This window comes from Homo sapiens, chromosome 3 (assembly GCF_000001405.40).
Source record: "Homo sapiens chromosome 3, GRCh38.p14 Primary Assembly".
Lineage (NCBI taxonomy): Eukaryota > Metazoa > Chordata > Mammalia > Primates > Hominidae > Homo > Homo sapiens.
This window is the reverse complement of record NC_000003.12, coordinates 42,821,083-42,832,349: the sequence shown is the minus strand read 5'-3', so window position 1 is coordinate 42,832,349 and position 11,267 is coordinate 42,821,083. Positions and strand designations below refer to the sequence as shown.

The window sequence follows — 11,267 nt, the reverse complement described above, 5'->3', positions numbered from 1 at the left end:
ACCCAGCCAATTTTTGTATTTTTATTAGAGACAGGTCCTCACTGTGTTGGCCTAGCTGGTCTCAAATTCCTGGACTCAAGTGATCTGCCCACCTCAGCCTCCCAAAGTGCTGGGATTACAGGCATGAGCCACCACGCCTAGCCTGATGGCAATGAATTTCTAACAATTAAGGGTCATGACATCTTAAGAGATGGAGGCTTTCTGGTATTAGGCTGTTCTTGGTGCAGTTGCCACTAGAGGAAAGGGGAGGGTCATCTCTATCTTTCCAAAAATCTCAGTCTCCAAAGTTTTGTGTTTCATTTCACTACCATTAAACCATACAATGATTTAATACCAATTCTAAGTACAAAATTCATAGACATAATTTCTGGCTGAATAAATTGGTTCTGCCTCTTTAAATTTCTAGTGATATTAAGGCCCATGTATTTCCCTATGTTCACTTGATTTTGAAACTATCAAACCTTTCACCTACTAGTAATTGCATTTTTGGCATCATGGTCCATGAAAGGAGAGTCAGGAGACAGTAACCACAGTAAGTTGAACAGGGAAAGTTTAATATAAAGATGTATTGACTATTTGAAGAGAAGTAACTACTACAAGAGAATTGAAGAGAACTCTAAAGAACATCCTAGGCAGAGGGAGACTACTTACAAAAGTACTAATTTGGAAGAGAAGGGAGCCCTGCCCCAAAGCTAGGATGCAGACCTCCTTTGAGAGGGTGCGATTGCAGCTACTGGATGGCACAGATGTTCAACTGGGTTGCCCTAGATGGAGCTCATCCACACTCAGCAGCTGGGGCTAGCAGGCAGGAAACTATGGGTCAAAACTGGCAAGCAGCATCCTGGGCAACTGAAGCTGGAGGGCAAGAAACCACTGCCATTGGCCAATGAAATTAGCCCTCCAGCGCCCCCTGCTGATAAAGTTTAGCATCATGCCAGCTGGCAAAGAAGAAATGTTTTAACGTCACAAAGCAATGAAGGTTGGATTTGAAACAGGCAGGCATTAAGTGACAAAAGGTACACCTCCTTTAAAGGTGGGGGGTCTGCTGTTTTGCTCTTGGGATATTTTTAACAGGTCCATAAGAGACTTTTCACTGAAAAGAATTTTCCCAACATCACTAAGGAGGTTTTGCAACTTCTCCTAGGTGAGCGTGGCAGTCTCGGATTTCACCTTTTATTTTTTGTTTTTCAACCCATCTCGCACACTGATAGCCTTTTACTCTTTAAGCCTCGTCTTCTCACAAATCTCTGGCTCCATCTGGCCACGATGAGAGTTTCTGTTTTTCTTTTTCTTTTCTTCTCTTTTTTTTTATTTTTTTTGCCTGAAGTTTAATTTCAGAAAATTATAGTCCCAGGATCACTCTCAGAAAACCACAGGTTTTTAGTCATTTCTGGTACACCAATCCCAAATTATACAGAAAAAAGACCAAAATGTTTAAAATTAACTGACTTGGGGGAGGTTGGAGTTCCCTTCCTCATGCAGACCGGAGCATCCATAGAATGTCTATCTAGCCTAAGGGGATATAGAATGCACCTGATTTTGAGGGGTCTGGGAAGAGAGGGATAAAGAGAGGCCACACAGTCCAACCAACACCCCAGCAGATTCAGTTTCTGATGCTTGCCTGAAGCAACAAAGACTTTCTGAAAATAAAAAAAAAAAGAAAAGAAAAAAGGCAGAACTTACACCTCATCACCAGGAGACAAAGGCAGGGAGGGGGACTTGAAAGAAACACATTACAGGATTTCACCAGCGGGGAGCTTCTTGTGTCCTGCACTACACCTCTTCTCCTCTCAGAGTCACTATTGCTCCATATCTTGTTTTCAATATGCCAAATTTGGGGGAGGGGACAGACAAAATTTTAAAACAAGATTTTGCCACTTTTAGGGGTTGCATTACAGAATGAAGGAAGAGGAAAGAAGAGTTTATCAATCAAAGGCTGGGCGTGGTGGCTCATGCCTGTAATCCCAGCCCTTTGGGAGGCTGAGGCAGGGAGATAACTTGAGGCCAGGAGTTCAAGACCAACCTGACCAAGAGGGTGAAACCCCCATCTCTATTTTAAAAAAAAATTAAATAAATAAGAAGTGCTTATCAATCAGAGGCTAACGACCAGCATCCTCCAATTCCTTAGACATACTTCCTTTGATACAGGAATACTATCTAAGACCCCCTCTATGATTGCCACATGGTCATTGGAGGAGGAGAGGCCTTGGGACAGTTAGGCAGGAAAGAGGAAGCCTCATAACATTCAGGAAGAGAAATATGAACCCTGTTATAAGGGGTATTTGAAAGAGGGTATTGAAAACAAGTCCCAATATTTGTTTAGTAAATATTAGACATCTATGAAAGAATCACAATGTTTGTTAGTTCAGAGTTTAGGTTTTGGAATATGAGACCTGAAACTGGATTATGGGGGCTGATTTTCTTTTGAGAATAGGGTCATGTAGGATGACCTGCTGCCCCTAAACTCTTCTTGCCTCTACGCATGTACCCCGGTGCCCTTTGCAGTCAAGGTACAGCCCCTTCAAGTTTTCCCATGTTCTGTTTTGTGTCTCATTTGCCTCTCAGTTGGCATGAAGACTAAAAGAGTTACGTCACATGGCAGAGGACAGAGTGCAGATGCAAGGGGTTGATGGTCAAGAGGTCCCTCTCCTAGTCCCAACTGTGCTATAGGAAGAAGGGCAAGCCCCAATCCTCTTTAGGCCACAGGGTCCCTATCTATAAAATTAGAGAGGGTACAACTCCACGGCCCTATCGGAAAAGTGATAGGATGAGTGACCCGAGGGAGCTAGAATATGGGGGAAAGGTGACAAGAATGAGCAGCAGAGCCAAGAGCTCATGGCCTGATCTCCTGGTAGGAACATTAGGGAAAGTGACTCACCCTGGGCCAACCAGAATTGCCCCTCATTCCTGGCCTACCACTCCCATTTTCTCCCTTCACTTCTTTGGGAAGAGAATTTCTGATGAGTCAGAGATGGTTTACCTTTGTCACTAGCTCAATAGGGGCTATTGCCTGGAACAGAGTAATGTGGATAATTCATTTGCATCTAGTGAGCTAATATTGTTTGGAAGCTGACACACCTATGTGGACTTATGAACAGCAATTTTCCTGTGCCATGCCTCTACCAAAGTCCACGTTTGCCACCTTCTGGTATTTTTGCATTGATGAAATGTGTATCTTACACATTCCAACCTCTGTGGCCTTTTACTCACCCTCATTTTCTTCTCCCCTTCTCTCCATCCAAAGATCGCCCATTCTTTCACCCTGTTCAAGTCCACTCTATACCAGGACACCTGCTCTGTTCCTTTTCTAACTCTTTAATTCCGTCCAATTTCAGATGGCTTGATGCTCCCCTCTCCCAGGAGTGTTTTGCCCTAAACTGACTGTCAATAAATGTGACCATGATGATCACAATAAAGATATCACTCATTTAGTCCACTAATATATACAACTATGGGCCTGCTCTTATATTATCCTCCTATTTCATTTAATGTGTGCTACCATAATTGCAGGTATTGTACTTCACATTATGATTCTATTTTCAGAGGTTACTAGAGAAAAGAGTTTGCAGTCTGTCTTGATAACCTTCTTCATCACACTGTATTCTTGAAAAGAATCCCCTGATTAGCCCCCCAAATCATCAGTCTTTGTCCTGAATTAGACAGAATAAAGTGTCTAACTGGCATGTGAGATAAATTCGCCGCTCCAAATCTCCATATCTCCAAATCTCATCCTCAGACCTTCCCAGAACATTCACAGACAGGTAGGCACTAGGAGAATAATAAGTCTCAGAAAACATTCCTTTTGGTTCCCCTTAAAACAAGATGTTGCCACTTTTAGGGGCTGCATTGTGGAAGGAAGGAAGGGAGAAGAAAGAAGTGACCTTCTCACAGTCACTTGATCTGACTTTCCTTATCTGAAATCAAAATATAATGCAAGCTGGCCAGGCGCGGTGGCTCACGCCTGTAATCCTAACACTTTGGGAGGCCAAGGCAGGTGGATCACCTGAGGTCAGGAGTTCAAGGCTAGCCTGACCAACATAGTGAAACCCCATCTCTACTAAAAAATACAAAAATCAGCTGGGCGTGGTGGCAGGCATCTGTAATCCCAGCTACTTGGGAGGCTGAGGCAGGAGAATCACTTGAACCCTGGAGGCAGAGATTGCAGTGAGCAGAGATTGCACCACTGCACTCCAGCCTGGGTGACAGAGCAAGACTCTGTCTCAGAAAAGAAAAGAAAAGAAAAGAAAAAAAAAAAAATATATATATATATATATAATGCAAGCATCCTTTGACATATCCTCCTGGGATTAGAATTTATGACTACAGCTCTTTCCTTTCCCTGTTGACTTTACACATGATTTTGCAGGCTTATGGTTTATTTTATGGAGAAGACTGAAGGGTGTGTGGTAGCTAAAGGGCAATTCATTTTTCTTGCTCTGCCCAAAGTTAGCAAACAACCATCAACAAGTCCTAAATGGGAGTGTGGGGGCGTCTCCCTGTGGGTGAGAGTGTCCACGCACAGGCTGGATGATGACTAGAAATCAGAAACCCTGAGGGCTGTTCCAGCCTCACAATTCCACAAGCCTCTTTCCCACGCATGGGGAGAGAGACAAAGTGAACAAGTCCAATCCCCTAGTGCCTTCATCTTGGCACTTGGTCAAATCTTGTCTTAAAGGTTTCCTACATTGGTATCTCGTAGATCTCTTAACTAAAATGTAGGTTCCCCAGAGGCAGAGTACACTGCCTTGCTTCTCCTTATCCATAATCCATTGTAGGTAGTTTATGGCTCTGGATTGACAAAGTGCTCAATAACCAGCAGATTCTTTCAGCCTTTCGATGACATGCTTTAAAGTTACCACTAGAAGTAAGGTTTCAGTGATATGGAGATACAGTTACAACATGGCTCTGCACAAAGAAACCCATAACATCAGAATTTAGAAAGACTGAATTGGAATAAAAGTTATAATACAGTTATAGGTGTTGGCAGAATTATAGAAATTCAAATGAAGAAACTACATTTTACTTAGGGAGATGGATTAAGAAATATTTGACACAAGAAATCCTTTGGACCTGTGACTCAAAGAATGAATAATGTTTAACCAGGTGAAAAGTGAATACCTAAAACTGATATAAGTAAGACACTCCACCCAACAACTGCAAAATACATGTTCTTCTCAGGTGCACATACAGCATTCTCCAGGACAGAGAATATGTTAGGCCATATAACAAGTCTCAATGCATTCAGAAGAACTGAAACCATATATAATATCTTCTCCAACCATAATGGAATTAAACTCAATCAATAACAGAAGGAAAAATTTGGGGAATTCAAAACCATGTGGAAATTAAACAACACACTCCTAAATAACCAATGGGTCAAAGAAGAAATCACAAGGGAGATTAGAAAATACTTTGAGATGAATGAAAACAAAAATAAAATGTACCAAACTTATGGGACATAGTAAAAGCAATGCTTAGAGAGAAATGTGAATACAGATATTTTTAAAAAGAGACCCCAATTCAGTAAACTAACTTTTCGCCTATGATTCTGGAAAAAGAAGGGCAAACTAAACTGAAAGCAAGCAAAAATAAAGACAAAATAAATATTGGAGTACAAATGAATGAGAGAATATGAATACAATAGAGAAAATCAACAAAACCAAAGGTTGTTCTTGGAAAACATCAGCAAAACTGACAAACTTTTAACTAATTGACTAAGAAAAAAGGGAGAAGACTCTAATTGCTAAAATCAGAAATAAAAGAGAGAGAATCACTATAGAAAAAAAGATTATAAGAAAATACTATGAACATCTGTATGCCAATAAATTAGATAATTCATATGAACAAATTTCTAGAAAGACATAAACTACCAAAACTCTCTCAAGAGGAAAAAGAAAATCTGAATAGACCTATAACAAAGAAAGGAATTTCATTAGTAATCAAAAAATGTCCCACAAAGAAAAGCCCAGAACCAGATGACTTCACTGGTAAATTCTACCAAATGTTTAAAGAATTACCACTAATCCTCTCAAACTCTTTCAAAAAACAGAAGGGGAAGAAACATTTCCCAACTCATTCTATGAGTCCAGTATTACTCTGATACAAAAACCCAACAAAGACATCACAAGAAAAGAACACTACACACCAATATCCCTTATGGACCATATATAGATTCTCAGACACACACAACTCCCTAAACAACATACTAACAACCCAAATCCAACTACAGATATAACGGGTTATACACCATGACTAGTTAAGCTATTTGCCAGGCATGCAAGGTTAAACCGTTCAACATCCGAAACTCAAACAATGTAAGACAACATATGAAAAGAATAAAGGACAAAAACCACATGATCACCTTAACAGATGCAGAAAGAACATTTGGTAATCTTCACCACCTTTCCTGATTGAAAAAAAAAAAAAATTCAATAAACTAGGGAACATCCTCAACCTGATTAATGGTATCTACAAAAAAAAAAAACAAAAAAAAAAAAACCCAGAGCTAACATCACACTTAATGGTAAAAGACTGAAATCTTCCCCCTCCCTACCTCAGATCACAAACAAAACAAAGATGCCCACTTTCACCACTTTTATTTGACATTGTACTGGCATTTCTAGTCAGAGCAGTTGTGCAAGAAAAATAAAAAGCATTTGCACTGGAAAGGAAGCACTGAAATTTCCTCTATTGGCAGATTACATGATTTTGTATATAGAAAATCCTAAGAAATACACACACACACACGCACACACACACACACACACACACATCAGAGCTAACAAGTTATCTCAGCAACATTCAGGATACAAGATCAATATACAAAAAGCAACTGTATTTCTATAAACTAAAAAGAAATTAAGAAAACTATTATATCTACGATAACATCAGAAAAAATAAGATACCTAGGAATAAATTTAACAAATGAAGTGCAAGGCCTATACACTAAAAACTGTAAAACATCATGGAAAGAAATTAAAGTAGACCTAAGTAAGTGGAATTACATTTCATGTTCACGGATTGGAAGACTAAAGGTTGTTAAGAGGGATGTACTCCCTTCATTGATCTACAGATTCAACACAATCCCAATCAAAGTTGCAACTGCATTTTTTACAGAAACAGACATGCTTATTATAAAATTCGCATGGAAATGCAAGGAACCCAGAATAGCCAAAACAACTTTGAAAAAGGACAAAGTTGGACTCACACTTCTTTTTTCAAAACTTACTACAAAGTCACAGTAATCAAGACTGTGTAGTACTGATATCAGAATAGTCATATAGATCAATCGAATAGAACTGAGAGTCCATAAATAAACCCAGGTATCCATGGCCAATTGATTTTCCACTTCACATCCATTGGGATGGCTATAATTCAAAAAGAGAAACATGGAGAAACTGGAACCCTCATACATTGCTGCTGTGAATGTAAAATGGCACAGCCACATTGGAAAACAATTTTGGTAATTCCTTAAGAACTTAAACATATGGTCTGGTATATGCCCAAGAAAATTGAAATCATATGTCCCTAGGAAAACACATATACACAAATGTTCCCAACATTATTCATGATGGCCCAAAATTGGAAACAACCCAAATGTCTACCAATGGATGAATGGATAAGCAAAGTGTGGTATATCCATGCAGTGAAATATTATTCAGCCATTTAAAAGGAATAAAGTATCGATACATGCTATGACATGGATGAACCTTGAAAACATTATACAATGTAAAAGAAATCTGATACAAAAGTCCATATATTGTACGATTCCATTTATATGAAATGTCCAGAATAGGCAAATACCCAAAATAGATTCATGGGGCAGGGGGAAGGTGTGGAGATGGAAGTGACAGCTAATGTGTGTCACTCATGTTTGGCATGATGAAAAATGTTCTGATTTTAGACAGTGTGATGAGTGTGCAACTTTGTGGTTATATTAAATTGCATAATTTAAGAGGCCAAATTTTATGTATATAGTCAGCCCTCTGTATTCATATGGGTTCCAAATCCATGGATTCAACCAACAAAGGACTGAAAATATTTTTTAAAAAAATTTAAAAATAACAATACAGCAATAAAAAAATACAAATTTTTTAAAATACAGTATAACAACTATTTACATAGCATTTACATTATATTAGGTATTATAGGTTGAGTATCCCTTATTCAAAATGCTTGGCACCAGAAGTGTTTTGGATTTCGGAATTTCCTGGATTTTGAAATATTTCAAAATATAAATAATGAGATATCTATGGGATGAGACCCAAGTTTAAACACATTTATTTATGCTTCATATACACCTCATACACATAGTCTGAAGTTAACTTCATACAATAATTTTGTGCATGAAACAAAGTTTTGACTGGGTTTTGACTGCAACCTATCACATGAGGTCAGATGTGAAACCAATCCCCTGTGGATACGAAGGGACGACTGTGATTGTCTCAGTGTTCTAAAACTCAGATCTAAGTTATGAAATCAGAATCACAGTGTGATATACTTAGTGTAGAACAAACTAGGACTAATTACCTTTATTTGATTGCTTGCTGCAATAAAGTTAAGGGAGAAAAGCAGAGCACAAAAGTCAATAGATTTTATTAATTCATTCCGCAAAAATGTATAGGTTTCTTGCCATCCTATGCAACTGTGTTAGTTCCCTCAGGGCATATACAAAGCTGAATGGTGCTTAGCTCCCCTCTTATGGTCTTAGAAGTTGATTGCATGGCTTAGAAGAGCACACAGTGCAGAGAGCCCAAAGAGGGTAAGTTCTGCTTGCTTACTGAGTATTGGACATGTCAGGGCAAGCCACCAAACTTCCAGTTCTGAACATCCCAGACAAGTCTGTCTAGGAAGAGAATGACTGGAGACACGAAGGCTGACAGGCTACACAGGAGAGAGACACTTGAATAAATTATAGAATGAAGGTCACACCCTGATCTCCCAGACAGGAGAGAAAGCAGTTGAGCATCCTTTTGTCTGGAGCCCCTGATTGAGGAGAGGGAGATATTGAGACAGATTACTCTGACTCCTGACCAAGTTCAGTACAAATTCCCCTAGGCAAGGTGGCAGGGGAGGGGATGCTGTAAGAAACAAAAGGAAAAACTCAAACGCAAAAGTCACTCCATGCTAGGCTTTATCGGAGATGAAGAAAACAAGAGGAAGGGATAACTTTTTAAAAGTGAAACCTGGATAGGAGAAGACTGTCCCGCCACTTCAGCAAAGTGAAGACAGGAGGCACAGCCTAGACCATGTGGGGCCTGGTGGAATAATGGGGCTTAGCCTAGAACCAAGTGAAAGGAAGGGGACAGCATCATGCAAAAACAAACACTGGAGTGAGCGTAATGATTGACTCACATCAAAGGAACAGTGTTGTGGTGGACACACAGCCAAGACTACAGAGAGGGGAAGAGACACAAGCCTGAGATCTGGTGGATACAGCAAAAAGATCCTAGCTTTCATGACTGGGGAAGGGGGGCAGATTGGAATAACAATTATTCTGTTACTGGTTTTATTCTTTTTTTTTTTTTTTTTTTTTTGAGCTGGAGTCTTGCTCTGTCACCCAGGCTGCAGTGCAGTGATGCAATCCTGCCTCCACCTCCCAAGTAGCTGGGCTGGGATTACAGGCGTGCACCACCACGCCTGGGTAATTTTTGCATTTCAGTAGAGACAGGGTTTCACCATGTTGGCAAGGCTGGTCTCGAACTCCTGACCTCAAGTAGTCCACCTGCCTTGGCCTCCCAAAGTGCTGGGATTACAGGTGTGAGCCACCGCACCCAGCCTGTTTTTATTTTTAACTGTGCCTGTTGTATTCTTCCCTCTCTGAGTTAGTGGGCCCTGGGAAGTTGAGGCTACACAGAATACAAAGCAAAATGCTAGAAGTGACTCAAGAAAATACAAGTACTAGGAAAAGGGAGTGTGTTTCAAAAGAGGGACAGAGAGCTTTAATTTAGAGACTGGGAAGAGATTCTATTCAGGTAGTGACATGTGAACTTAAAAGGATGTGAAAGGTTTTAAAAATTGTTTTGTGATTATAGCAATAATATAAATTTAGTTTCATAAATATATTTTTAAAAACGGAAATAAAAATCACGAAGTATTCTACTGTTCAGATAAAGCCACCATTACTATTTGAGGAGTATATCTTTCCATATTTTATTTATTTATTTATTTATTTATTTATTTATATCTGTCTCTATCTATCTATAAATACCTAGAAGTCAATGCATATAAATAAATATAGATGTAAACCTAAGTTGTATGTGTTTGTAAATATATACATATATGTATTTCAAAACAAAAGTTTTGATTGATAAAGATTCTGACAGGGGAAAGAGAAGATTGAAAAGTATATTCTGGCTGGGCGTGGTGGCTCACGCCTGTAATCCCAGCACTTTGAGAGGCCGAGGCGGGCGGATCACGAGGTCAGGAGATCGAGACCATCCTGGCTAACACAGTGAAACCCCGTCTCTACTAAAAATACAAAATATTAGCCGGGCGTGGTAGTGGGCCCCTGTAGTCCCAGCTACTCGGGAGGCTGAGGCAGGAGAATGGCGTGAACCCGGGAATCGGAGCTTGCAGTGAGCCGAGATAGCGCCACTGCACTCCAGCCTGGGCGACAGAACGAGACTCTCTCTAAAAAAAAAACAAAAACATATATATATTCTATAAGAGAGAGAACAATCTGAGCATAGGCAGCAAAAAGAAAAGATAGAGAGGCAAGAGAGTGTTCCAGAAAGGGCATGAGCTAAACAGTACTGGGTTCAAATTCTACCTCTGCCTCTATGGAAACCCAAGCAAGTTACCTAACCACACGGAACCTCAGTTTCCTCCTGTATAAAATGGGGGTAATAATACACACTTGTAGAGTTGTTTAAATGATCAGAGACACTTTCGTATGTCAAGTGTGTAGGTCAAGTGTGCAGCAGTGCACGTAGGAAATGGAAGTGAGCTAAACAGGACTCCTGTGTGCGTGTGCTGTTGGCGTATTGCAGACTGAGCAGCTGTATGTGGTTTTTCTTGCTTCTAGTGGAACACGTATGTAAGGAAAAGGGATGCCAGGGACAACTCACTCACTATAGCCTGTGGATCACAAGCATTCTGAATTAACGGTAAAAGCAAATTAGCCAGAAATCGTAACAGGTCTTTTAAAACTATTGATGAGGCCAGGCATGGTGGCTCACGCCTGTAATCTTAGCACCAGCACTTTGGGGTGCCGAGGCGGGTGGATCACGAGGTCAGGCGTTCGAGACTAGCCTGGCAAACATAGT

General features: G+C 40.0%; 1 protein-coding gene across 1 annotated transcript in view, besides 1 other annotated feature; it reads right to left on the bottom strand.

Moving 5' to 3' along the window:
• Nucleotides 1-11,267, bottom strand: part of ACKR2 (atypical chemokine receptor 2) — a 57,842-nt gene that overhangs the window by 34,937 nt on the left and 11,638 nt on the right. The window lies entirely within an intron of this gene.
• Nucleotides 8,659-8,953: an enhancer, noted in NCBI's record as "tiled region #10622; HepG2 Activating DNase matched - State 5:Enh". NCBI's record gives its function as "activates a minimal TATA promoter and a strong SV40 promoter by Sharpr-MPRA in HepG2 cells {active_cell/tissue: HepG2}" and the evidence as "EXISTENCE:reporter gene assay evidence [ECO:0000049][PMID:27701403]".